The sequence below is a fragment of the Homo sapiens genome, chromosome 4 (genome assembly GCF_000001405.40).
Source record: "Homo sapiens chromosome 4, GRCh38.p14 Primary Assembly".
Classification (NCBI taxonomy): Eukaryota; Metazoa; Chordata; class Mammalia; order Primates; family Hominidae; genus Homo; species Homo sapiens.
The window spans coordinates 8,846,076-8,872,955 of record NC_000004.12 but is presented as its reverse complement, the minus strand read 5'-3'; the positions used below and the strand labels follow the sequence as shown (position 1 = coordinate 8,872,955).

Below are 26,880 nucleotides of genomic sequence, written 5' to 3'. Positions count from 1 at the left end.
GCGGGCGGTACTCGGGTGGAGAGGGGCCCGGGGCTGGCCCTGGGAGGATGGATGTATCTCTGCGAAATAACTCGCATCGGGTGAAGCCGGCTTAACCCGCGCGTCCGCGCAGTGACCTAATGTAGGTAAGTCTGAAGTCGACGCCGGAACGGAGACAGCTCCAGGGTGCGTTATGTTCCCGAACTTCCCGCTGCAGATATGGGAGGACCTCCCCACCCCTTTAGAGCGAAGAAACGGAGGCACAACGAGGGAAGGGGCCTGCCCCCAAGACCTTCGCCCAGGGCAGAGGCTGGGCCAAAAGCTCCCACCCCCTTCTAAGGCCCTGGCTTCCCCTGGAGCGGGCGGTGGGGGTGCTGGCGCGGTGAAGACCTGCTTGGTAACATCGAGCGGGCTGCCAGCGGAGCCCTGTGGTTGCACTTCCTTACATACTGGTACCGAGCCCGGGAACTGAAGAGTTCTACCGAACTACAGTTGGCATTGAAAGCATCTTTCCTTAAGTGCAAATATTAAGATATGCCACATTTCGCAGTCCTGTTTTGGCAGTGTTCCCATTTTTAAATTACACACAAAGTCTTAAATAAAAAAATGTGGCCCAGCCTCTTGCAGTTTCTTGGGAGCCCCGGGGTCTCCACGCCGCCCTCCACACACACACAGCCATTCAAACGCACACTCGTGCACACACCACGCGCGCGCACACACACAGTTACTCACGGTCGGTCCAACACCCTCCTCGCAGCGGGGTAATTACGGCTCTGGCCGGACGGTGATTGGCCAGCCCGTTCCTCATCGGGGCCCCACAGCCAATGGGTGGCCGCTCAGCCCAGGCCCCGCCCCCACGGAGCGGGTGGCGCGGGACGGGGGAACTGATCACGCGGGATCGGACCCGGCGCGACCCCCCGCCTGCGCCCGGGGCCGCCCGCCCTCGGCTGCGCCGCTGCCCGCGCGCTCAGGTCTGGGCAGCGTCTCCCGGCAGCGGCCGCGCTCGGGGCCGGCGCAGCGTCCTCGGGGCTCAGCGGGCCGCCCTCCCGGCCCAGCCCGCGACCCCCCGCCCCTGCTGGCCCCTCCCCCTCCCCGCCCCCAGTGAGGCCGCCCCGGCGGCGACCAGAACGGCGACCTGAAAGGCGAGCCAGGCGGCTGCCCGATCAGCTGTCGGCGCGCACTCGCTCCCGGCCCGGCCCAGCCCAGCCCGGCGCGGAGGCCGCCGCCTGCCCTGCGGGGCCCGACGCCAGCGGTCCGGGTAGCAGCTCCAGGGCCGGCCCGCGCGTGCGCCCGGGAGCCGCGCGCCACCATCCCCAGCGGGGACCGAGGAGCCCGGCCGAGCCCGAGAAGCCCGCGGCCGCGATGCCTGACGAGCTGACGGAGCCCGGGCGCGCCACGCCGGCCCGCGCCTCCTCCTTCCTCATCGAGAACCTGCTGGCGGCCGAGGCCAAGGGCGCAGGGCGCGCGACCCAGGGCGACGGCAGCCGGGAGGACGAGGAGGAGGACGACGACGACCCCGAAGACGAGGACGCCGAGCAGGCGCGGCGGCGACGGCTACAGCGGCGGCGACAGTTGCTCGCGGGCACCGGGCCCGGCGGGGAGGCGCGGGCCCGTGCGCTGCTCGGGCCGGGCGCGCTGGGCCTCGGTCCTCGGCCGCCCCCCGGTCCCGGGCCGCCCTTCGCTCTGGGCTGCGGAGGCGCAGCGCGCTGGTACCCACGGGCGCACGGTGGCTATGGAGGCGGCCTCAGTCCTGACAGTGAGTGAGGGCGCGGGGAGGGTGGGTCAGGCGGTGGGGCCCGACTTCCTCCCTGCGCATTTGCTGGGGGACTTCGGGCTCGTCGCCGCCCGTTCTGGGCCATCCTCTCCCTTCTGTGGAACGGCGTCTGGGCCTTGTGGGGCCCCCAGGAGCCCCTGGTTGGGCTGGTTTGGAGGCCCACCCTCTGGGGCAGGAGCTCCGCTAACGAGGAGGTTTTGCAGGCCATAGCTTCACCCATTGCCGGGCTCCTCCGGTCCCAGGGAGGCTGGGGACAGGGGACAACAGGAGGCCAAAGAAAAAAGAAAGGAGAGTGAAAGAGGATAGGGAAAGATACAGGAGAAGGCGAAAGAGGCTGAGAAAGAAAATGGGAGGATGGAGGAAGAAAGGAATGTGCTGCGGGAGAGAGAATGGGGTGGGGGGAGGGGAAGATGCAGGAAAAAGAAACCCAAGAGTGATCCGAGAGAGAAAAGAGGAGGAAGAGATGGAGGGAAAGGGAGACAAAGTAGCATCAGACGTGGAAAAATAAAAGGGGGCATTGAGCAGAGGGTGCAGTGTTGTGGGGGTGGGGCCGGGGAGGGGAGCCATCTAACATGGCAGCTGTGCCCCCCCAGAGTCCTGTTTCCTCTGTGCCCGCTGCAGACAGCCTGGGGCAGGGGCCTGGGTCTCCCTCTTGGTCCTTGAGGGGCATGGGCTGTGCCAGGCAAGAAGGGAGCCTGTTCTGAGGCCCCCAGTCCAACCCCTCTCTCTTCTTTTTCTGCCCCTCCCCCTCCTTGCCTTTGTTCCCTGCTGAGGGCTTGAGACTGGGGCTGGGGGTTCTCAACCCCAGAACCCCTTTGCCCCCTTGCTTGGGTATCTGACCCCTTAGTTCTGCTTCCCCTCCCCAGGGTTCCAGGGTCGCTGCCTCCCTTTTGTACCTGCCCTTTAGGAAGACCCCTGGGAGGAAGGCCAGGAAAGCCAGTCCAACCCCCCAAGCCCTGGCTTAGCCAGCCCCCCACCCCCAACACAGCCTTTGGACCTTGAGGCCAGCTGAGGACGTGGGCCCTCTGCAGGCTCCGGCTCTGGGATCCATGCTGTCCTCTGTATGAATATTAGTGTGTGCTGGGGAGTAAGTGGCCTACGACCCTCACTCACTTGTTAGATAACCCTTTCCATGTCGTGGAGTGATCCTTTGCAAAAGCCCCCACATCTCGGCACCCACACTCAGGAAGTCTAGGCCCCCACCCCCTTCACGTAGACTTGAGCAGGGCTTCCGTGGTTTCCCAGAAATCGAGCGACTCTGTCTAGTGCCCTTCTGGGGGAGACTATGGAAAGGGTTTCTCAGGGTGAAATTTGTTCTCCACTCATCCCTGGGGTGCATCCCCTCCTGCAGCCCAGGTGGCACCCCTGCAGAGGCGGCTCCCCCTTATTTCGTGCCATGCGGGTTAGGGTCCCACTTCCTCACTGGAGCTGGCAAGTCAGCCTAGTGCCTTGTGGCAGCACATGGGCCTCTGTGAGTTTGGGGTATTGGGGGGAGGCAGGGACTCCCCAGATCTAGTAGCATGCACCACAACCTGCTGCCTGACTCCCCTGTGGGTGCTGTGAGGGCACACACCATGGGGATTGGCCACGGGCGTGAGTGGGATGTGCACACTCCTTGGGCATGAGGCACAGAGCTGGAACCACGCACAGAAGCCCACCAGTGTGCGCACCCCTTGCATGAGCGTGCAAATGCTGCAAATACACTGCAGGCACACACCCGGCCGAGTGCACAGCCTTCCAGGGGCCCAGGGCCAGGCCAAACTCTGCCTCCACCTCTAACCTGTCAACCTGGGCCTGCCCTTTGCACGGGAGGCTCCAGACCAAGGCAGAAAAGCAGCGGGTCCGAGTCAGCCTCCAGAGCCCTGCAGTGGGAGGCTGCTGCCCTCTTCAATCTGGGCAAGTGCTTCTGGGTCCCGGCTGGCCTCTTTAACCTGACATCATCCCTTGCCAGCCTGTGGGCCTCTTCTTGTTCCTAGGAGATGAGTAGGGGAGCTTGGTACTTGGAACATGAACTCAGACACCGCCTGTGAGCTTCTGGTTTCAGCCCAAACCCATGAGGCTGAACCTCCAGTCTTGAAAGTGTTTGGGGCAGGACTCAGCTGCTGCATGTTGCTTAGAGTGGCATGTGCCCGTGTTCCCTTTGAGCATGATTGTGGCTGGTGTGGACTTGCCTTGTGGACACTGGGTCAGGGCTACAGGAGTATGTGGTGTGGGGGTGACAGCCTCACCTGATGGGAGTTCTCTTTTGGGGATCCTTTGCATTGGTTTGTCCTCCTACTATGGAATGTTTCTGTGCAAGCGGGCAGAGGGCGCGGGAAGAGGCCTGTGAACTCTTCATTCCTCCTTCTGGGGAGCTTGGCGTGGGGCTGGATGCCAGGTGGCAGGGGGTGTCCTGTGCTTGTTTTTCGGTGTGAACATTTCTCGGAAGGACATCTTTCCTCTTGTCCCGGGACTTCTGCGGGAGGTTTGTGTGTTTTTCCGGGCCGCCCGTGGTGCAGCTGGGAGTGGGGAGTGCTCACTGGGGTCAGCCTGCTTTTCTTGTGTAGTATTTTTGTTTCTTTTCTTTGCTCTGCATCCCTTTGTTGTCCTCTGGCATGGGTGTGCGTTTGTGTTTGTGTGTTGCGGGGTGTTGGTGTGTTGCGGGGTGTTGGTTTGGAGCTGCTGCCTGGTCTCTGGGCCGCCTCCCACGGTTCTGACAATGTGTGCATCCCCAGAGCTGCTGGGTGCCCAGCCCTGTGCTGGAAGGTCTTCCTGCTTGTGGCTGTGAGCGACCTCAAGGTGGGGACGGCTGGCCTCAGTGATTGAGTCTGGTAATCAGTGCCCTAGAACCAACGGTGGTGCCCTCTCTCCCCTGCAGCCAGCGACCGGGACTCACCGGAGACGGGCGAGGAGATGGGCCGTGCGGAGGGCGCCTGGCCGCGAGGCCCCGGGCCGGGAGCGGTGCAGCGGGAGGCAGCGGAGCTGGCGGCGCGTGGCCCGGCGGCCGGCACGGAGGAGGCGTCGGAGCTGGCCGAGGTCCCTGCGGCGGCTGGGGAGACACGCGGCGGCGTTGGCGTGGGCGGCGGCCGAAAGAAGAAGACGCGCACAGTCTTCTCCCGCAGCCAGGTCTTCCAGCTGGAATCCACCTTCGACCTGAAGCGCTACCTGAGCAGCGCCGAGCGCGCCGGCCTGGCCGCCTCCCTGCAGCTCACCGAGACGCAGGTTAAGATCTGGTTCCAGAACCGCCGCAACAAGTGGAAGCGGCAGCTGGCAGCCGAGCTGGAGGCGGCCAGCCTGTCCCCGCCGGGAGCGCAGCGCCTGGTCCGCGTGCCGGTGCTCTACCACGAAAGCCCCCCGGCCGCAGCCGCCGCTGGGCCCCCGGCCACCCTGCCCTTCCCGCTGGCGCCCGCCGCGCCCGCGCCGCCCCCACCGCTGCTCGGCTTCTCCGGGGCCCTCGCCTACCCGCTGGCCGCCTTCCCGGCCGCCGCCTCCGTGCCCTTTCTGCGGGCGCAGATGCCTGGCCTGGTGTGAGCCCCGCCTGCCGGGCCCTCTCCCCACGACCCTGTGGACCTGTGTGGACGCGCGATTCAGCGGCAGGCGCAGGGCTCAGGGGGCGTTAGGGAAGGGATGGTCGCTCCTGCGGCCTCCTAGATACCTCGGGAGCGCAGGCCGCGGCCGGGCGGGCCTCAGCTTCTGTGGGGAGCGCCTCTAGAATGTAATGGGACGCCCCACCCATTTGCCAGGCTGGATCCCCACTCGAACAGGGGGCCATGCAGAGACTCTGGGCTGCGCAGCCCCCGGCGCCACGGCCACCCCCCGGCCTCAGCGAGGAGCGGTCGGCCATGGCCACCCGGGGCAGCTGCCCTCAGGCCAAGCCCAGCGCAACAAAGGAAAACTACGAACCGGCTGTCCAAGGCTGAGCGGTGACTGTCCCCACAGACTGCCCCCAACACTAAACGTCCCTTTCCTGGGACCCAGACAGCAGGCCGGCCCGGAGGGCTGTGCTACCCCTCTCGCGGGTGCTGGTGGAGAAAGGACCCTGGACCTGTGGGTCCCATCGTCCGTTCCAGGAGCAGGCAGGCTGGGGCTCTCTGCAGACGTCGCAGCCTCCGGGTTGTTGTTTTTTTAAATGAATCTACTTATTTGCGTATGGAATAAAAAGGGACATTTTCTGGACAGTTTCACTGCTTTGTGATCACGAGGGCAGAGACAGCTCAAGCTGCGCTGGGTGCCGTCCCTCCTGGGAGCACCTTTCAGTGCTGACTGGGGACACCTGGAGCCCAGGGCTGGGCCAGGTGCAGGTGGGCAGGGCAGACCCTAGTCGGAGGTGATGAGCGCTGTGCCCCTCTTCTATGACACACCACAGGGAAGGGCCAGGAGCCGGGAGTAGGGAGGAGGAAGTGATGATGGTGTGTCCCAAGTTCTAGAGCCTTGACTGAAACCGAAAGGCAGGAGCAGGTGAAGGCAGAGGCCCACTGATGGCCGCTGGCATTCGTCACAGGGGCTCGGCTGTGTGGCGCCCCGTGTGCACAGCCATTTCCTATCTGGTATGGAATTTTTCTTTGGGCCAAAACAAAGCCGTGGCACTCAAGGTCAGGCCACCGTGCTCTTGCCTTGGGTCTTCCTCCCGGCCTGCAGTCTCTGGTCTCTGGTCAGCTGGAGGACTCAGGTGGTGGACAAAGCTGTTCACGGCCGGTGATGATGGGATCTGAAGGAGAGCTCGTTCCCCTATTCTGGGCCACTGGGGCCACCCCACCTCCATCAGCCCCAAGCTGGCTGCTTTTGGGTGGGGGAGGGACAGTATTTGGTGTGTGTTTCAGCCTAGGAGAAATATGTTGTTCGGGTTTGAAAAGTTCACTTCCATGGCAGAATTGAGCCCCTAAGAAAACCCATCTCCCTGTCCTGCTTCACTTGGGTGTAGACGCTCCCCGGGTGAGATGGGCAGCAGCCGGGCCATACGCTGGTCTTGGGGCAATCAAGGTAGCGCCAGACGGCCAAGGAGAGCGTGCAGTGGGCCTGGGGGTCAGTGCATCTGTGTGTCTCTACCATCCAGCTCCTGACCCAGAATCATGTCCTCCAAGCCCCAGCCCCCGCCCCGGCCCATCAGTTGGTTCCTTACTGTGAGGCCAGGGTTCCAGCAAGCCCAGGGGGCCTCCTTCAGCCTCTGGGCCCGCAGGTCCACACCTCTGGGTTCCAGGCCCTGTGTCATGACAGCGTGGGCATTTTGAGAGATTCTTAGAGAGGGCAGCCATCCTTGGCCTTGCAGCAGGCCTCCCCCAACCCAGTCCCCACCCTGCAGGCTTGTTGCTGCCTGGGCCCCCTCCAGCCCTTCCCAGGCTTGTGTCCGGGCTCCCTCGCTGCTTTGGGGCTGCGCCCCAACTGCTTTCCTGGCTAAACCAGGAAGTCCGTTCTCACTCGGTTTCATCTGGGAGGGACTCAGGTTAGGCCTCAATAAAACTAATGAAAGCTCCCTGTTGGCGGCCATGAGGGGCAAGGGGTGTCCCAGGAGGCTCTTCGTGGCCACTCAGGCAAAGTCCCAACCCTCACCCCCCGCCCCTTCTGACCCCTCTCCCCACTGGGCCCTCTAGACCTCGCACCCCTGACTCAGGCTCCTGGGACCCTCGCCCTCTGGGCTTCTGTCGCTTTTGTGCTGGCCTCACCCAGTCACCGGGACACATCGCTGCGAGTCCAGGAAAGGGGCCAGGGCACAGCCGGCGACACCGCGGAGCCTCCGAGTCCCACACAGGCCCAGCAAGCAGAAGCAGCAGCAGTAGCCTCTCCTTTTGAGGTCCAGGCACTGTGTGCCGGTGGCACTGCCTCGGCCTTCCCAACGGCGATGCTACTCAGACTGGCGAGGCCTCGGGCACTCGCACCACGAGGACGCCTGCCTCCTCGGCCCTATTAGAAGGGGGTCATTGAAGCTCAGGCCAAAGGGGTTATCGCTGTGATGCAACTGTTTTATTCGACTGCTTCTGGCCGATGTGGGTGCAGTCCCAAGGTTGTGTGGTGACTGCAGGGTGCCTCTTAGCGCAGTGGTGGCGCCCAGGTCCTCAGGCGAATCCCCTTACAGGCGGTTCAGTCAGCACTGGAGCCCTTCACAGGTGGCCTTAACCACTCCAGGAGTCACCTGACTCCGGGCCACCAGGAAGCTGGAAGGGTGAGAGCCCTATGGGTGCCAGTTTTAGATCGTCCACTCTGGCTACTAGGGAACCATGGAACCGGTCACCAAGCCTAGTCTTGGCAGCCAGCATCAGAGGGTGCAGGGTCTACACAGTTCAAATGCAGGGTAGATTTGGAGAGAGTGGATGTGTCTTTCGATAGAATTAATTAAAAATCGGGCTGGAGAGCGTCTTATGGGCCTCGACTCAGGGCTTGCCCTGGTGGGAAGGAGGGAGCCGGCGTGGGAGGAGGGGACCGTTCCAGAGCTCAGGGAAGGGCTGGGGCCTGGAACACTGTTAAGAGAGAAAACAGATCCCAAGCTGGATTAGGCCAACTGGGCGCAGGGAAGCTGGCCCTGCCCTGTTATCCGTGGGGCTCTGGCGTCTTGGGGCTGGCACCAAAGGCAGAACAAACCAGAGAAAAGCAGTGTAGGACCTGGAACCCAGAGAGCCCTGGAGAGCAAGCGGGACCAGGCTGGGGGCAAGCAGGGGGTACGCCTGGCCCCTCTGAGTCCTGAGCTCCGGCGCCATCGATCGCGGGTGCACCTCGAGCGCGTTGGCTCCACCACTGGCAGAAGATGAATGGCTTCGATCTGCCTCCACCACATGCGCCATGCACCCTCCCCCCTCGCGGGTTCCACCCACCTCCTCACCCTCTCCGCACCTGAGTCCGGATTCCAGCCACCCTGAGCTGCTCAGGGCTTCCAGTTGCACAGCTCCGAGCACCAGTGGGTGCAGCGGGCTCTGGACATCCTGGACACACGCCTATACTGGACCCAGTCCGACTTCCCCATGACCGTAATCACACCCCTTCTCTCCTCCAGGCCTCCGTTTCCCCACCGCACACCTATGGTGAGAACTAGGGTCTGTAATTTGTAAATGCTGGGCCTCCTGTGATTTGAGTGAGGCCAACAGGACATCCCTCCCCAGCTCCCAGGGCCCATGCTGTGGTGGGACTGGTGGGTGACCCACCTCCTCTGGGCCTCTCAGTGCTCTGGGACTATAAAAGCTGAATCCCCACTGGAGCTGGCCTGAGAGGTGGGAAATCAGCTCCCCACCCTGCCCCAGTGTTGGGCATCTGGGACCTCCAAAGGCAGAGTCCATACCCAGAGCACCAGGAAAGGCCACTACGGTGGTGTTTGGGCGTGGAGGATGTGCTGTCTGGGCTTAACGGTCCTGTCCTCGGGAAATGACTATAGAGCAGAGATTCCCAGCCTAGGTCAAATTCCACAGGGATCGGAGCTACTGGAATCCTGGAGGCCGACCTGGGCCTGCCCCATTTCCCCTAGGTGGTCCCACCGCCCTTGGCCACTCCAGGCCCTTGGCCGAGAGAGCAGGCAGCAACCAGGGCTCTGTCCTCCCTGCTTCCTCCAAAGCCAAAATGAGAGACAGGCAGGTACCCAGGCAGTGCCCTTGGAGGTGTGGATTCCCCCGCGCGCTCCACCCAGCTTGGCCTTTGCACTCCCGAACCCCCATGGGGCTCCTCTGCCCGCCGACTCCCATTCAGGCGGGAGCACCCTGAGAAGATCCTCATCAGGTGCAGGGGAGGGGTGCCCAGTGCCCTCACCCATCCGCATGCAGGGAGGTTTCCCAGATCCTTGGCTCTGAGCCCACTCCGAAGGCAACCCAGCTGGGCGGAGACGGAAGGCTCTGGACTCTGGCTGGGTGAGCAGCACCAGGGAGGCGGGAGAGGCCGGGTGGGCTTCTCTTTCCCTTTCTGTCAGTGCCTCTCCCCCAAGAGTCTTTCGTGGCCTTCCGCCCCACCTTGCAACTTGTTGGAAAGGGAAACCGGGGTTCTGAGAGGGGCAGGAATTCTGGAGCACGGTGGCACTGAGGCTCCCCGGCGCCCTCCTCCACCCGCCTGAGGGAGGCCAGCGGGCTACTCCTGCGCTGGTGCTGCTGCTGTTCCTCCCCGCCTGTGCACTCATATGCTTCATACCCTTCGGCCACCCTGCCCTTCTGGTAGCCAGAGTGGGCATGCCTATCCAGGGTCCCGCTGGGAAGTGGGTCCCAGCCACCGGAAATTCGTTCGCTGGGCCTCCTGGACTCGCCGATCCCCAGGTCCCCAAGGCGGATCACCCAATGAATGACTGCCCTGGAGGGAAACGGAGAGGTGGACACCCCTTCATAGGTGGGCCGGAGAGGGGACAGCCCTGTCCTCACAGAGCTAAGCTCTGCGTGTCATGCACGGAAGGACACACAGGATCGGGCGCCGAGAACAGCTAAGTGGTCGAAGAGCCAGCCTCACCGCCTGGGGAGCAAACGGCCCTCGCCACGTTCTGGAGCTGTGGGGCTGAGTTTTTGTTTATTTTTTATTACAAAAGTAATAGTGCTTTTTATTATCTGGACATTGCAGTGAAGTTCAAATGGAAATACGTCTGCACTTCCAACATCAAAAGCCAACTGCCTTTGAGTGTGGATTTACTGGGAATTGTAACTTAAGCCGTATTGTTATTTTAAAAAAAGTTATTATCAGTGAAAATGCATTTATGTATTCAGTGAAAATGTGTCTGTGTTTGCTTTATAATAAGGCAACAAAAATAAGTTAGTACAAATAAAAGGAGGCCAATAGAGGGAACTAGATTGGTCACGGTTTAAGAACTGTGGGATAGGGGTGGGTACACGGGAATTCACTTGAAGCCTCCCTCGATTTTGTTTTATATTTGAAAACTTCCATAATAAAATGTTTCAAAAAGTGACTACCAAGAAACATTAGGGGTTTGTGCTCCCCAGCGGCTGAATCTCTGCCTGGGGCTGTTTTGGTTGCAGGTTTATCTACGCCCAATCGGGGTCTCACTTTGGTCCAGCTTGCACTCTGCTTTTAAATTTTTTTCTACTTAGCTAGAATGTTCGCATTTAAACCCATTAACGTGGTCTCTGTAGAATGATTTCAGTCTTAACCCTTCCTCTTTTCCACGCAGCTTTCCCGGCCTCCGCCCCTTCTCCACTGGTCGTGGTGCCCCCTCCGGGTTCCCCCACCCAGGGCACCTGGCGCCGGGGCGTCGCCTCCGCTGGGGAGGCCTCAGACCGCGTCGAGGACATATCAGGGAGGACGGACAAGGGCTGAAGGGTCCTTGGCGCCGCCTCCCGGCTCCCCAGCCCGAGTCACCCACGCGGACGTGGTTCCGACTTCGCTGCAGTGTTTGGGAGGTTGCGCGCAGCGGCCTCCTCTTGGTCCCGGGTGCGTTGTCTTTGGTTTCCGGGCACTTCCTTGACGCACTCGGCGTGCTTGGTCTGCAGCGCCCGACCCACGCGAAAGGTGCGCCCCGCCATCAAGAGGATGGGCGCCTTGATCCCGGGGCTCTGAGGGTCCAGACAGACGCCAGAGAGAGGCGCAGAGGCCCCTGGAACGACGGCGCCCCAGGCCAGAGCTGTGGGCCTCCTCGGGTTTCGCCAACCGCCCGGGAAGGCGCCTGGCGGACACTCCTGAAGCGCAGCCTCGGCCGTGCCCCCGGGGCTCCGCCTACGCTGCTCCGCGGTCCCCTTCGCCTGTCTTCTTCCGATGCTCCTCTGCTCGTCCCTCTTCGCGGCGCACGAGGATCCCGCGCGCGCGTGCATCTGCCCTGGTCACCGAGGCTCCCCCGTCGTTCCCTACCCCCCTTTCCCGAGCGTGATTCTCCCTACTTCTGACCGGCCCGAGTCGGGGTCGGGGAGACAGGGCGTGTTTATTTCTTTGCGGAGAGGCTCCTCGGCACAGGCCGCGGGAAGCGCGGCCTCCGGGGCGCAGCGGCGCTCTGATCCCGACCCGCCCCTCCCAGGCCCCGCGTCGCCCGGTCGGGCAGTGGGAAGTCGGTGCCGCAGCTTCTGGTCCGGGCCCTGCCTGCCCCGCTGGGGCCCTGGAGCCAGGTTCATCCCTGCTCGGCCTGCGCTTCCCAGCAGGTAGAGGAGGGCAGCGGCGCCCGGACCCGCGGGGCTGCCCGACCTAGATGGAACGGAACCCCGACAGTGGCGCCAGCTCCGCTGTGTCCGGGACCCCGCGGACGCGACTCGGCCCCGCCTCTTCACCGTCTCCGGCCGCCCGGGACCTTCCCAGCTCGCGGCCCTCCCGGGCGCCCCGCCCCCTCCCCGCGGTTCCGGCCCCGCCCCCTCCCCCGCCCTCGCCCCCGCCCCCGCCCGGCTCACCTGGCGTCTCTCTGGCGTCTGGAAGTCTGGCTCAGCCTTCAGCCTCGCCCCTCAGTTCTCACCTCGCCACTTCTCGCTCCCCTCCCCTACCCGGCCCCTTACCCCTCGGGGTCTGCACAGTGGAGCCGTCCGGTCTCCGCACCGCCACCCCGAGAAGGGCGGTGAGCTCAAGCTGCGGGCAGGGCATGGGGCTGCGGAGAAGGGAGGCGTCTGATCCGCCCGGGCCTCCTTAGGCTTCTGGAAGGAAGCGGTGTTAACCCGAAGGCTAGAGCGGAGCGAAGCTCGAGGCGCGCAGGTGGAGACACGGCGGGCCGCCTTGCGTCTTAGCCCGTGGCGGGGGACGCGGGGCTCTCTGCCGCCTGGCCCCTTCGGGTCGAGCCCTTCCCTCCCCACTCCCCAGGAAGGGTTAGATTCCTGGACCGTGCGCGGTGCCTTCACTGGCCCGCTGTGTGGCTTTGGGAAAGTCACTTCATCTCTCTGAGCCCGTCTTGCCCATCTGCGGAGTGGTCATCGTAGCGGGGGTGAAGGCGGCGCGATGTAATGACGGGAGCGCGGGTGCATTGCTTGCTGCTGTGTACACAGCCTTCCGTGTTCCCGCTCAGCACCCACCATGACCCGGAGCACCTCCGAGGCGCTCAACGCACGGGCCGGTCCCCTCAGCCTGTGCCCGGACTCCTGCAGTATATCGGTCCCAGCGGTTTTGGCCCCGGGTATAGGAAAGGCCAGGGGGCGCCCCCACTTCCATTTGGCGCGCAGTCATGCTCTCACTGGGGCACCAGGGCAGCCACGCCGCGCGCACCCGGGGGTGTCCAGGCACCAGGGCCCTGCTGACCCGCGCACTTGTGCGCAACGGCGCTCCACGAACTCGGCTTCGCCCCTGACGCAGTTCGCGCTGTCAGCACCGCCGTTGGCCCCGTCGGGGCTCTGCCGGTTCTAATGGGGACCTAAGCCCTCCACTCCCACCACGGGCAGTTGTGCCTCCTTGCTCCCAACAACATGGTGGCGGGAATTGGGTATCCAGAGGTGGACACAGATCCGGGCCCAGAGCCGTGGGCCACTGCCCGCGCCTGCTCTGGAATGGCGAATGGCCCTTCCGCCTCCCCTGGAAGCTTTCTTCGGGCCGGGACGGGAGCTGATCAGCCCTTTGCCCGCCTTGTTCCACGGTATTCCCACGATGACGAAGGGGCGGGGGGATGTCCTCATTCGGGTCCCAGTGCGACTCCACGTCACATAGACCACGCACGTGTGTAGAGAAGGCAGAGACTCTGTCCCCATTTCTCTAGTGGCGGCAATGACAGGGCGAGGAGATGAGGATGCTGAGCCCAGCTCACCCCTGGTCTGGGTGAGTGGGGGAGGGTGTCAGCTCCGGAGGTCTCGCACCCTCCCCACTTCCTCAATCCTCCTCTCCCTCTTCCAGCGGGCTCTCCACATGGGGGTCTGAGAGGCAGTACCCTTGTGCCCCCAGGCTGCACCTCAGAGGGCCCCATACTGTGGAGTGCCTTTTATTTTTGGAATTTTCTAAGTCCCGCGGGCCTTTTCTGGGATTGGGGTGGAAGCTCTAAGCCAGCTCAGACCTGTAAGGCCCAGGTTCTGGGAGGGCTGTCAATCGGGACTAGAGAAATCGTGCTAACGGGATGGTGCTGACATTATGAGTTTGCGATGACTAAAACTGTTTATATAGACAAGAATCCCCCATATTTGCCTGAGGTTCCTCATATCCTGGGGGTGGCACTGTCAAGAGGCGTGGGGGGGGGCCAGCCTTGGAGCGAGCCCGCCTCCCCAGCAGACCCTTAGCCTGCTAGAAGAGACCTTGGCCAACTCTATCTCACCTGTGCCCATTTTACAGATAAGCCCAGTGTGGCCCCAGGAGAGGCAGAGGTGGGCTGCCCAGAAGCCAAATCCACCGGCCTCCTTCCTCCCCACTCTGCTCCTGCACCCAGCAAGGAGTGGGTCCAGCCAGGAGGGCACACCCCACCACAAGGGGTGCCCCAGGAACCAGAGGGGCTATTGCACCCCCCACCACCACCACCACCGCGTGACGAAGAGAGGAGGGAATGGGAGGGCCCAGTGGAAACCGAGTCTTTGAAGAAGCTCGCCCACCCCAGTGTCCCCCCAGGACCTCCCAGTGACGATGCTCCGAGAGTTTCATTCTCGACGGGGCCCAGTGGAGGAATGCACTCAGGACCGACTCCAGGACCTTCGTTTTTCGTTGCCTGGAGCTCAGCGTCCCTAGCGGGCCCGGGGCATTGGTGTATGTGTGCCTGAGTGTCACGGTGCCGACCTCTCCCGGCCGCCAGAAGCGAGGCCCCGGCCGCCCGGGGGCCTGCGCTCAGGGGGCACTCCCCCCATGACGTCCGGGCGAGGGGACTGCACAAGGTAGGGGCTGGCACCTCTCTCTCCCGAATGGACCTAGGCCTCCTGCCGGACTCAAAGGAGCTCAAATAGGCGCCTGGGTCTTGGGGCTCTGGCTAGTTCCTGGGGTCTTGCCGCGCCTGGCCCAGAAGCGCATCCCCAGCCGCGCCGGCCTGTTTTCTTCTGCGAAAATTGCGAGGCTGCTCCCTTTTGCCCCCTCACCCCTCGGTGTGTCTGTCTCGCTCTTTCTCTGCCGGTCGGCATCTCTTTCTGCTTCTCCGGACCTCTCTGCCTCGGCTTCTCACCCCCTCCCGCGGTCGCCGCTGCGCCTTTCCTAGAGCGCTCTCGGGGCTCCAGCTCCGCGCGCGTAACCGCAGCGTCAGCACATCCGGGCCTCGCTCATTTGATTTGGGTTTGTTTCTTAAATCGCGAAAATCCATTTCCCCCAAATGGACGGGGGCCTCGACCGGCTTGGGGGCGGTCGGCCTGCTGCCCCCTCCCCCACGCCGGTCCCCGAGGCCCGGCATTGATCCCCGTCTTACAGTACATCGCATTAGCCCTAATGGCTTAGCTGATGCTTCAACTTCTTTTTCGTTAAAAGCCACCCCTCGGCTTCACCCCTCCTCCGCCTCCTCTCCCCGAGCGCCCGAAGCCCTACTCTCTCAGGACCCACTGGCCCGTAGAGACGCGGCTCCTGGAACTGGGGCCCGGGGCTCGGCACGGCGCGTGTGGATGACCCTGGAGGAGCGCACTTCTCTGGGCAGGGGCAAGGGCAAGGGGAGGAGGAGGGAGGGGCTGCGGCAGTTTGGGATCCTCAAGGACCTCGAGTCCCCTGTCGCGTAAAATGCACGATTTAGACACAATCCAACCAGAAACGTCCAAAATTGTTTCCCGAACCCCCAGACTCAGACCCAGGGCGAACGGCGGAACGATCCGGAAGCTGGGAGACCCCTGCGTGCTCGCAGAGAGGCTCCAGGCTTCTGGGCTGCGGGTTCCACAGGCAGGGGGGCGGGGGGGTGCGGAGGCCGAGGCCAGGGATGGGCTCTAGGTCAGCCGTCACTTCCGAGAGAAGCTGGGCCGGAACCCGCGCCCCACCGGGTGCGGAAACTCGGGGTGAGACCTGGGAGGCCCGGCGCAGCAGGGAAGCCGCGGGGGAAGGAGGAAGGAGAAAGCGGAGGCTGCCCCAGACCCCGCCTCCTGCCTCCTACCTGGGGAGGGGGCCCCACGGGCAACAAGAATGCCACTCCAGGGGAAGGCCGCCGCCGCCCGACCCTCCAGGACTGAGGCTCCGGCTGGGCGAGGTTGGCGGCCTGGAGGCGGCTGCAGGGGAGGAAGTGGGGACGGCGTCCAACCCCATCTGTCCCCGACGCTTCCTCGGCGGCTGCATTGCATTTAATGTCGCAAGGAGACTCTGTTCGTTATTTTAAAAATTCAGAAAATTACAAGCACTGAAAACAAAAGGCATCCCAAGTTCGACTACCTGGAGATAGCCAGAGTTTCGGTTTGTTATTGAGATGGTCCGCTGTGTCGCCCAGGCTGGAGTGCAGTGTCGCGATCAGGGCTCACTGCAGCCTCCATTTCCTGGGCTCGAGTGATCCTCCCATCTCAGTCTCCGAGTAGCTGGGACTTCAGGCGCGGCCACCACGCCCGGCTAATTTTTATTTTTTGTAGAGAAGGGGTGCTGTATGTTGCCCAGGCTCGTCGTGAACTCCTAAGCTCAAGTGGTCCGTCTGCCTCGGCCTCCCCAAGTGTTGGGATTACAGGCTTGAGCCACTGCGCCCGACCAGAGTTTTTGATAAAGATTTTCCCTCATGATGTATGTAGTTTTTAAACAAGCAATGCATCGCCAAGGCACGAAATTCGAACGTATAACCAGGTAGAAGATGGAAAGCCTCCCTCCCCTCCTTCTTCAAAATGGGAAGTGAATGTACTTAGGGAGAAAAGCACAAATTTAAGAGTGCAATCAGAGGAATTTTGATAAATGTGCACACCCGTGTAGCCACCACCCGCATCCCCATTTTTTTAAGAAAGAAAAATGTCTACATAGACGCCTAAACGGTTTAAATTCAGAGAGACCTAGTGCCCCCTTCTTCCTCCCCTTCCCCTGCCCGGCCTCTTCTCCTCCTCCTAGTCTTCATTTGTACCAGAGCTACTCAGCACACAACTTAAAATGTCCTCCACTTCTACAAAGAGCATAAACCACTACCAGAAGAGATTCCTCATCCCACCCCCACCGGAGGACACAGCTGTCAACCCCGCCAGCTCTTTCTGCTTCTACCTGCCTCTATATTTCTAAATAGGACGCTTCTGCCACGATTGCTTGAATTCATTTTTTCGGTTCTTTCTTTTTTAAAAGGAATCTATCAACTGTCTATGTCTTGTCTGGAAGGTGGGAAGTTCACTTGCTCACATGCCACTCAAAAGCACTCAGGGCCCTTCCCTCCCTCTCTCCATTGGACTGAGCTGAGACGGTCCAGCGCTCACAGCGGCTTCCCATGAACAACCTGCACAGCTGGGCGTGCACTATGAGCACACGTTTGTTCTATACTAGTGGCCTTTTCCCCCTTGGTTTTCTGTGGTCCTGTTGTTCATCTGTCCCCAAGCTCCCTTCCAGCATGCTACTGTCCGCTGGAGGGCGTAGATCCCCAGGGACCCCACCACATTGAGTGGGGAGGGGGAGGGCAGGCTGGCCCCGTACAGGAACCTCCTCTTTCCAGCTCCCGCTGGATCCTGCTTTCAGAGAGCAAGTCCAGAGGCTTCTGCAGGTCAGCAGGCAGATTGGCTCTCACTCCCAGCCTCCCACACTCCCCAGGCCCTTCCTGCCCTCACGTGCACCTCCTCAGCTGCTTGAAACTTTCTCTGCGACTTCTGGGTCACATTTCACTCCCGGTTCACACCCAAGCACAGACTGGGAGTCTCCAAGGGTCCTGGCCACATCCCTGGGCTGCAGAGTGTCCTGGAGGGTGAATCCTTGACCTTGCTAAGTGCCAGGTGAGAGAACCTTCTGGACCTCTGCCAGAACTCTTGCACCTGGTGGGTCACCCGGCAGCTGGCCATCTGTCCAGGGCACTCACCTCGACCCCCAGAGTGTGCTAGGAGACCTCCCGCCTGGCCCCCAGCAGTCTCAGGTCCACCCATCGTTGCCTCCCTTGCATTCCCTGAGGTCACGGCTGTTTCTTGTCTGACTTTCTTGTGAGACTGTGAGCTCCTTGGGGACAAGATTCAGGCTCTGCCATCCCAGCAAGCTGCTCAGGGCAGCCAGAGGTAGGCATCATCACTGATAAACGGGTGAATGAGACAGCAGCTTCATCCTCACCGCAGCCACACAGTGGAGGTCAGCCTTGCACAGCCAATTAGCTGCAGCTTGAATCCAGGTCTGTAAAATGAATCTAACAGCGTGGGTCTTCCTGGTCTGTGATGAGGCTGGAGCAGGAGCCTGACGGGCTCATCTGCGTGGAGTCCACGGGGGAGAGGGACTGCAGGCGCTGGGGGAAGCCCATGGTGGAGCGTGGGCGTCACTCCTGTTCTTGGCTGAGGGATGGTTGCCTGCTGGTGTCTGCTGTGTGGTGACTCACTGTACTTAGCAGGACACGTGTGTTTCATGCATAAGAAAGATGTGGGGGAAGAAAGAAGTTGAGTGCTTCTCATGTGCTAGGATTCCCATTGTTCACTGAAATTGTTTTGCACGCTTCTGTATTTACAGATTCATTTTAGGAAGTAGAATGAATCCCTCCCTGTGATTATAGCTACAAAATGGTTTGAAGTGTGCTGGGTGATGTTGGACTTACTACTGTTACTTTAGACTTCATGTTTTGAATGTTTTTCTTCGTATTGTTCTTAGGAATTAGGGTTCTCCAAAGAAAGAGAATCAATAGAATAGTTAGATAGACAGAGAGACAGGGAGCACATATGCAATTTTAAGAAATTCTCTGGCATGAGCGTGTGGTCTGGCAAGCCCAAAGTTTGTAGTGCAGGTTGGCAGGCTGGGAGTTCAGGCAAGAGCCGATGTGGCAGTGTTGAGGACAGATTCCACAGGGAGCAGGCTGGCAGCCCAGGCAGAGTTTGTGTTGCAGCCTGGAAGGGAATTCCTGCTGCTTGGGGGAACCTCAGTGTTTGCACTTCAGGCCTTTAATCCATGTGAAGTTTAACACCCCTCCTTGACATAAACACACAGGAGTGTCCCAGCAGTGATATTTTCACTGGCATTATGGCAAATGTGTACCTGGATTTGAGCAGCCTCTGTGAGCCTCAGGCTCTTCATCCCATTCAGGGTTCTCCCCGGCATCAGCCTGTATGGGGCCCAGGCCCTGCTGGGGGATTGAGCCCAGCCCTCAGCACAGCTGTTACCCTCCAGGGGTGGCCGACAGCCCCTGAGCACTTCCCTGGAGGTGTAGCAGGATCTGTCGACCCCCCACTGCCTGGCTGCGAGCTCCTGGAGGGCAGGGACTTGTGTCCTTCACATCAGGCCTCCAGGACCCATTCGAGGCAGGGTAAGACAGGGAGAAGGGGTGGGTGGGGATGGACAGCTGTTTCTCGCACACCATGCAGGGATCAGCAGGAAGGGATGGCAGGGCAGGGCCATGGGTCGGCTCAGGGCACACACTTCCTCTCAGGCTGGTTCAAGATGTAAACGCAAAAGCAAAAAGCTTTATAAAAAGATTAAAAATACTCATACATTTTTATCTGATCTCAGAGTGAGGAAAGGGGGATCCATTCTTCCCCCGCCCCCCTTTTTTTTGAGATGGAATTTTGCTCTTGTTGCCCAGGCTGGAGTGCAGTGGTGTGATCTCGGCTCACTGCAACCTCCACCTCCCGGGTTCAAACAATTCTCCTGTCTCAGCCTCCCCGAGTAGCTGAGATTACAGGGGCCCACCACCACACCCAGCTAATTTCTGTATTTTTAGTAGAGACGGGGTTTCATCATATTGGTCAGGCTGGTCTTGAACTCCTGACCTCAGGTGATCCGCCCGCCTTGGCCTGCCAAAGTGCTGGGATTACAGGTGTGAGCCACCATGCCCAGCCGCATTCTCCCCTTTTACCTTTTACTAATTGAACCCTTCTGGATTTCAGTTGGGCACTTAGCTAAAGACTACATTTCCCAGCCTCCCTTGCAGCTCAGCCCGGTCACATGATGTGGTTCTGACCAGTGAGCATGAGATGTGCAGCGGGCAACATCTGGATAGATCTTTGACTTATCAGGAAGTTGGGTGACCCTCAAACTCTCCTTCTTGGCTGCCTGGAATGGGGCTGTGATGGTCAGGTGAGGACAATTTAGTTACAGCAAAGCAGAGCCTCGGATAGAAGGAGCCAGGTCCCTGGTGACCTGGGGCAGAGCTGTCCTACCTCCTGGATGGTTTACCAGCTTCACTCATTTATTTGTTTGTGAGAAACAAACAAAACTTTCTGTCTTGTGTAAGCTACCATGACTTGGCTTCCATTTAAGAAATAGAGTCAATACCCTAATACAGGAGGCTCTTGTAAACTGGGCCAGTCAGAATCTGTGTTTGGCTGCTGACAGGGCACTGACCACAGTGGGAGGTGGGCAGCCCAGGGCTAGTGTGGCCAGGAACCCAGGGACTCCTTCTATCTTGCTTTTTTTTTTTTGGCCATCCTTAGTGGATAAGTTTCATCCTCCAGGTCACAGAATGGCTGCTGAAGCACCAGCTCTCACATTCCTGTTTTATTCAGGAATAAGGGGAAGGGCAAGAGGCAAAGGTGGGCCTCCTCTCAGCTTTTAGAGATAGCCCAGAAGCCTCTTTCACTGATTTCTGCTTTCGTTTCTCTGGCTACCCCTATCTTCAAAGAGTTTTGTTGCTAAAGCAGAGGGGACAGTATTTATTGGGAGGCAACTTGGAAGCCCTGCACAGAGGGGAAAATTCACAAAAGAGAATGCTGTCAGTTTTGGCCACAAAGCACCAAAACCAGGACTTGTAAAGCCCTTCAGCTGCACCAGTGACCTGGTTCTTCCCCAGCCCCGGAGGCTGACTCCCGTGAGCTCAGACACAGGGGTGGGATGCGTCCAGTTCCCCACACCCAGGCCCCGCGTGTGCAGCCTCCTGTGAGGCAGCGTGGTGCAGAGCAGGGAGCCCGGGCATTGGAGTCAGGCCGACCTGGAGGAAGTCTCAGCCCCCTGTTTCCTGGCTGTGTGGCTTTGTCCAAGGCTTCCGACCTCTCTGATCTACCACTTCCTCATCTGTCCTAGGTGCTCAAAAAATGATAGCCAAGGTCGTTACAGCTGCTCCGTGACAAAGTGCAGTGGAGCAGATGCAGGGCGTGAGGGCCTGGGTTTCAGGCGGCTCCAGCAGGTTCGACACCTCCCTGCAGCCGCGTTCACTGGATGTCTGCCTTGCTGGCTGAGCCCATCTGTTATTTTTATTACAAATTGCCACTAAATTGGCTTCACCCAAGGTCTGTTACCCAAAATAACATGAGTGATTGCCCATTGAATGCAGGGTCAATACTCATCACGCTCTCCTTGCCCACAGCCCCTTGGAGCCAGAGCCGGGGCTTGGAAGGGTCAGGAGAGGTGGAGACCCTGGATTGCACTCCCACTGCAGTGTCTAGGGACGAGAGGGGCTGCCTGCCCGGGAACCAGCTTGAGCCCTTTATGGTTTTCTGTTGGTGCCTCCTTGACACAGGACGCAGGTTCGAGGCCCTCCCATCTCTGCCTGGAGCTGTCTCCAGCCCGCTGCCTGGCCTCGGGGCATGAGCGGAGGAAAGTGTGTCCCCACAGTGCCCAGGCCTGGGCTGCTGGTGGGAATGATGGTCTTTCCAGGATGTCAGGGAAGCCCACCCCACTGGGAAGCAGGAGGAAGAGTCCTTGGACTTGGGGGTTAGACTTCAGGCTCCTGTTTTATGATGGAGAAATGGAGGCCCCGAGAGGCCCAGTGACTGGCCCACAGGCCCATGGCAGATTCATGCCTGAGACGACCGTGGGTCCCAGGCCTCCTCTTTCCCTTCGGGGGCATCCTGGCCTCAGGCCCGCAGAGCCTCTGGTGATCCGTGAGTGGGCCTCAGGGGGTCTTGTATCCAACTGATGTGTCTGTGCTTGTTCTACAGAGGGCCCTTGGATGGCATCAGAGCTTACAAGGTGCCCCGACCGGTGATGAACCATGAGACCTCCTAGGAGTAATGTGCTGGCTGCCTTCGCTTCTCAGCTGCCCCTTGGGGTGCATTGTACACCCGCGGGAGCCATGGAGGGAAGCTGTGAGAATGCCCACCTCTGCATCCTGTCCTGTCGAGGGCCTGGGTCTCTCCCAAGCTGGATCTAGGCCATCCCTGAGCACAGCCTGTGGGAAAGAAAGCCTGGGATGGGAGTGGGGGCCATTCGTAGGCCTTCTGTTCTGCCACGAAGACCCGAACCCTCTTCAGATCCCAGCCTGTCCTTCCTGTGTTGTAAGGCCCCAAACCAAAGGGGGCCCTCAGGCTTGAGTCAGACACACGGGGTCTGGTCTCCCTGCTCAGTAACGACGGCTGCTTGGGCAGCTGGCTAAGGTGCTCCAAGCCTCTGTTTTTGTGTTTGCAAATGGGAATGCCGTTCAGAATTCCAGAAGCCTGGAGAGTGTCTGCCAGGGCCCCGTGCTAGGCACGAAGACCCAGAAATGGATTCCAGACTCCCTGCCCTGGGGGAGCCCAGTCCGGCCAAGGGGGCAGCTGTGTCTGGAGAGGCAGTGTACTCTCTGGGGCACCCAGCACATGTGGGCACTGTCCTGGAGACCAGGATTCCAGACAACACTGGCGGCAACAGTCCCAGCCTCTCAGGAGCCTGGGTCCAGCAGGAGAGATGCCGGATCCAGACCAGGAGCGAAGACCGAGTCGCAGGGCTGGGTGAGTGGAGTGGTGACGCCCACCCGCGGGGAAGGGCAGGCGCTAACACTGGTGTTCCAGGGAGGCGGAGGGGCAGATAGCCAGAAGAATATTCTGAACTGAAGGGATGGTGTGAACACAGGTAGGAGGTGGGATGGGGTGTGGTGGAGGCGATTGTGGGCAAGTCATGTGTTGTGGGGTGAGGTGCGGATGCTGTGGGAGCCTGAGAGGCCTGGAGTCCAGGGAGCTGGCCAGGGAGGGCAGCAGAGGCTAGGCCTGGAGGAGGGCGCAGTCTGCCCCCCAGCCAGGAGCCTGGGCTTAATCCTGCAGCCCGAGGTCAGGGTAAGGGACAGTGCTTGGAGGGGCCACAATGAGCTTCAGCAGGGCCAGTGGAGACCGGGGCGGTGGGGATGGAGACAACACCTCCAGGAACCCCACCGGAAGGGGTCGGGGCAGAGCTGACCACCCCAAGGTGGTGCCTGGGACTCCCACACTGTGCAGAGGCTCCCCACAGGCAGGCGGGCACGGGCAGAGGTCGGCTCTGAGGGGCAAAGATGTGAGGGTCAGGTGCTGGGCTGAACCTGGGTTTCCGGGAACCCCCATCTGTTTCCCAGCGGTCTGCAACCTGGGCTCTTCCACTCCTTACCCAGCCCCAGCCAGCACCCTGTCTACCTTCACTCATTCAGTCAACAGACTCACCGTGTGCCTATCAGGTGCCAGGCTTGCCACGTGAGACACTCTTCGGCACATGGGTGGGCTGAGGGGGGTTGTGGGGCTGTGGGAGAAGGAGGCCCAGAGAAACCAACACCCACAGGGTTTGGGACACACCCTTGGCCACTTCCTTTGTCACCTGCCCACCTGTGTCCCTCCCATCGGGCCCCCCTGACAGGAAGCAAGGGCAGAGAACCCTCATCTGAAGACTCCGGGCTGAGGGTGGAGTTAAATGACAAATGGCAGACCACACCCGATGCCCGGAGGGGCTGTTCCAGCTCAGAGACCTCCTGTGAGGGTCCCCATTTCTTCCTGCCCTACCCAGCAAGGGCAGAGGATTGGAAGAGAGGGAGAAAAACCCCTGGGGTTGCATCCACATGGGCCTGATGACAGTTGAAGACCGCACGCTGGGGCCGGGGGGACCCCAGGAGAGCTGCCCTGCGTGTGTCTCCGTGAGTGTCCTGGGGCTGCCGGGACCAAGGGCCACAGGCAATGGGCTTCAGACAATTGAAATGTTTTATCTTGCAGTTCTGGGGACCACAAGTCTGAGCCCCAGGCGTCGGTCGGGCTGTGCCCCTCCAGAGGCTCTAGAGGAGAGCCCTTCCTGCCCCCTCCAGCTTCTGATGGCATCTGGCAATCTGTGGCTCAAGGCCACGTGGTGCCAGCTGAGTGCCCGCCTTCTCCTTGGCTTCACGCTGCCCTGCCTCTAGTGAGTCTGTGTCCAAAGTTCTCTTTGTCCTCACACACCACTCAGCTTGGGGTAGGGCCCTGCCTGCATTTCAGCTTGCTTACCTCAGGAAGACCCTATTTCCAAATAAACTCCCGTTCTGGGGTGCTGCCGGTCAGGACCTCCCCATACACATTTGGGAGGACACAGTTCAGCTCATGACAGCTGCCATGGTTGGACCCGTCTCACAACCTCATGAAAAGGCTTCATCCCACACTTCATACCCCCGTTTCACAGATGGGAAAATCGAGGCTCTGAGAGAAGACGTCCACGATGGAGCAGCGGGCAGGGGGAGGAGGCCCACCCCCCTCAGCCGGGTCTCCACCCCCACGATGCTGCACTCTGTTCAGAGAGGAGGAATTGCTCCTGCGGTAACGTGAGCTGGACAGGTTACCCTCTGCTGGATACAGCCCACCTTTTCACAGAGGGAACATTTTTCTCTTTGTAGTTGGAAGGTGAGGCTTTGAGCACGGTGCACAGATGGCCAAGTGTCAGGGACTCCAGGCCCTTCCCTTGGGCAGCAGCCTGTGGTCTTCACCAACCAGGAAAAGCCCTTATGATGTCTCCTTGCTACTTGCCCTGGGGTAATCTTCTGACCCAGGTTGGGTGTCAGGCATGTTGGCATCTTGCTTGGTTCTAGTGGCCTGCAGATCTGTGTTCTTGCAAGGCATATCTGAAAAAAGGGGGATGGGGGAGCCTGGTTTAGGTTGGTCTACAGCAGCCGGCACCTCCAAGCATGCCTGGAGCAAGTGCCAAGTTATGGGCCCAGCTCCATCCACATGCTGTGTGACCCAGGCAACTTACTTGCCTTCTCTGGCCTCAGGTTTCCTATTTGTAAAACAAGGGGATTGAACTAGGGCATTCCAAGTACTCTGCCTAGATGAGTAAAAAACAATCATAAAATTTCCGCAAACTCTTTATTTCCATTTTATCAAAATATCATAGGCTTCAAGGTGGCATTGTCCAATAGAAGCTATGACTGTGAACCACATATGTGATATAAATTTTCTAGTAGCTACATTAAAGAACAAACAGTTGCAAATAAATGATAATTTCATCCAACATGTTCAAAATTACCATTTCAGTATGCAATCAATATAAAAATATTGAGTTGCTTTACATGTTTCGGACTCTCTTTGGAGAGCACAAAAGTATGCATTTTTTACTTACAGCACATCTCCATTCAGATGCCGAAGTTTTATTGGAAATACTTGATCTGAATTTAGCTATCATAAGATTTACAGTTGAAAAAGCAGATTCTCAGACCCAAGTTGTTCCAAACATACTTCAGTGTTGTCCAATAACTGAATCGAGTGTCGAGTTTTAGATTCAAAATTCGGTTCGCTGAGCTCAGATGTCACCCTGGACCTGGCGCTCCAGGGAGTCGGAGCCTGTTCCAGTTACCGTAAAGCCTGGAGTATAGGGGGCTCGTTGATTCCAGTTCAACTTAATCCACTGGCTCTCAGCTCAGGTCCTCTCCAGAGCCACTCCAGCCAACCCCGAGGTTCTTCTTGTCCTTCCCATTCCCCTGTTTCTGAATCCTGTTTCTTTATTCTTGTGTCCAGAAAGCAATTACAGAGTACCAACTGTATGCAGGATATAATGAAGGAGGCAGTATAGTCAAGGCAGGCCTCATATACTGGAAAGACCACAGCTCCAGGTTCAAATCTGGGCACTGCTAGCTCCACGGGAGGCTGTTTCCACATCTGTGACCTGGGAGCCCTTGGCCCTGAGCAGAAGCATCTCTGTGGGGACAGAAGGGGGTGGTTTGCACGTGTCCAGTGTCTGGCCGATGTTCCTTCAGGTCCGCCTGCTCTCGGGACAGGAGTTGTGCCCGGCCCAGCATCTTCCGAAGAGCAGGGCTCAGTGGCTTCCGTCTGTTGGCGGCATCCCGTTACAGAAATAGCTCTTTGCAGATGTGGCTTCACCGTGAACAGCATTTCTCAAACCACGTTCCCAGAAACATCTTGCTCCTCCTGGTGTGAACCAGGAATTCTTAAGTCAAAGATATTCTCAGGAGACATCAGATCACTTAGTGGCTTTTTAAATTAAATTAAATTATTATTTTTTTTAATTTTTAAAGACAGAGTCTTGCTACGTTACTCAGGCTGGACTGGAGCTCCTGGGCTCAACCCTCCCCACTCAGCCTCCCAAGTAGCTGGGATTACAGGCATCCCTCACCACGCCCGGCTCAATGGCTTTGTACTTTTATTTGTAGACTTTCTTAGAGCCCTTGATGTGGCAATGCAAATGGTCAGGGAATTCCCACTTTGCCACTGTGTCAGCAGCCCTGGGCCTGGCACTTTGAGACAGGAGCTGAGTCATAGTCATTTCCGTGTCCCATGTCACTTTTGCACACAGGGAACCCCTAGCTGGCACCCTGCCCTCAGGGGGTGCCTGACAGTGGCCACTGATTAAAATGTGGGCTAAAAAGAAGCACTAAAACAACAACATGCTGGAGATCAGGGGAAGGGCCAATTATTTTCAGAGGATCCAGGAAGACTGCCTGTAGGAGGAGACATTGGAACTGAGCATGAAGGATGAGCCTAGAGACCAGGGTAAGGGGTTCTGGGTACATGAAAGGGGCGTTCACAAGCCCAGTAGGAGCTCCGTGTATGGTTCAATGCCTGGTGGGGTAAGGGGTGAGAGGTTTGGGGTGTGGGGTGTTTGCAGGGGAGTGTGAGAGGTGGAAGAGGCAGGAGGCCTGCTCAGGACTCATGGGGTTGCAGGTGGCACTTCACCCTATGGTCAGTGCCACTCGCCCCAGGGCCACTGCATTGGAATCCCAGGGGAGCCTGTTACACCTGGGTTCCCAGCTTGGTCCTACTTCACCAGTTTCTGGGAGTGGGAACCCCCATGTTGACAAGTTCCCGGGGAGTCCTAGGTCCCTGTAGTTTGGAGACCACTCTGTGAGCCAGGTTTGGGTTTTGAGCCATGTGGCTGGCAGTGGAGCATCCAGGATTAGCTGACACCTTGTGCAGACATGACTAGTGCTCCCAATACCTGGTTTTTCTCCCCTGCAGGCACACAGAAGATTACACCTCAGCCTGTGCAGTGTGGAGAGGGGCAGGTGACCAGAGCTGATAAATACAAAGTGAACAGAAGTGACAGTGGGAGCCTCTGGATGGCGGAGGAGGCCGCAGGGACTGGATGGTGCAGCCACAACACGGTGGAGCCTTTGTCAGCCTGGACCCCCGAGTGACCGCGTGGAGCAGTGTTCCCACAGGGGGCACTCAGTGTGAGCAAGAAATAAACCTTAGTGTGTGCACCCA

The 26,880-nt window shown here is 59.6% G+C and overlaps 1 protein-coding gene across 2 annotated transcripts, besides 5 other annotated features; it reads left to right on the top strand.

Annotated features, from left to right (window-relative positions):
• HMX1 (H6 family homeobox 1) lies at window positions 1,117-26,880 on the top strand. 2 transcript variants are annotated; one of them, NM_001306142.2, is made up of 2 exons: window positions 1,117-1,735; window positions 26,632-26,880. In NM_001306142.2, exons 1-2 carry the CDS (start codon window positions 1,342-1,344, stop codon window positions 26,808-26,810), a joined length of 573 nt encoding a protein of 190 aa, NP_001293071.1. In that variant the 5' UTR covers window positions 1,117-1,341; the 3' UTR covers window positions 26,811-26,880. The 2 variants fall into 2 exon arrangements, with proteins under 2 accessions (NP_001293071.1, NP_061815.2); NM_018942.3 differs by lacking the exon at window positions 26,632-26,880 and adding an exon at window positions 4,611-5,908.
• Window positions 12,068-12,685: an enhancer, noted in NCBI's record as "H3K27ac-H3K4me1 hESC enhancer chr4:8861997-8862614 (GRCh37/hg19 assembly coordinates)". NCBI's record gives its function as "activates a minimal SCP1, AML or CMV promoter by ChIP-STARR-seq in naive H9 embryonic stem cells {active_cell/tissue: H9 hESC(naive)}" and the evidence as "EXISTENCE:reporter gene assay evidence [ECO:0000049][PMID:30033119]".
• Window positions 12,686-13,304: an enhancer, noted in NCBI's record as "H3K27ac-H3K4me1 hESC enhancer chr4:8861378-8861996 (GRCh37/hg19 assembly coordinates)". NCBI's record gives its function as "activates a minimal SCP1, AML or CMV promoter by ChIP-STARR-seq in naive H9 embryonic stem cells {active_cell/tissue: H9 hESC(naive)}" and the evidence as "EXISTENCE:reporter gene assay evidence [ECO:0000049][PMID:30033119]".
• Window positions 13,893-14,435: an enhancer, noted in NCBI's record as "H3K4me1 hESC enhancer chr4:8860247-8860789 (GRCh37/hg19 assembly coordinates)". NCBI's record gives its function as "activates a minimal SCP1, AML or CMV promoter by ChIP-STARR-seq in naive H9 embryonic stem cells {active_cell/tissue: H9 hESC(naive)}" and the evidence as "EXISTENCE:reporter gene assay evidence [ECO:0000049][PMID:30033119]".
• Window positions 14,981-15,524: an enhancer, noted in NCBI's record as "H3K4me1 hESC enhancer chr4:8859158-8859701 (GRCh37/hg19 assembly coordinates)". NCBI's record gives its function as "activates a minimal SCP1, AML or CMV promoter by ChIP-STARR-seq in naive H9 embryonic stem cells {active_cell/tissue: H9 hESC(naive)}" and the evidence as "EXISTENCE:reporter gene assay evidence [ECO:0000049][PMID:30033119]".
• Window positions 15,525-16,069: an enhancer, noted in NCBI's record as "H3K4me1 hESC enhancer chr4:8858613-8859157 (GRCh37/hg19 assembly coordinates)". NCBI's record gives its function as "activates a minimal SCP1, AML or CMV promoter by ChIP-STARR-seq in naive H9 embryonic stem cells {active_cell/tissue: H9 hESC(naive)}" and the evidence as "EXISTENCE:reporter gene assay evidence [ECO:0000049][PMID:30033119]".

Excerpts from the sequence above, each read along its gene's own strand:
- HMX1 (NM_018942.3), top strand. The coding sequence starts at position 1,342 with ATGCCTGACGAGCTGACGGAGCCCGGGCGCGCCACGCCGGCCCGCGCC. Across the intron at positions 1,736-4,610 it reads AGGCGGCCTCAGTCCTGACA|CCAGCGACCGGGACTCACCG; the intron begins GTGAGTGAGGGC and ends TCTCCCCTGCAG.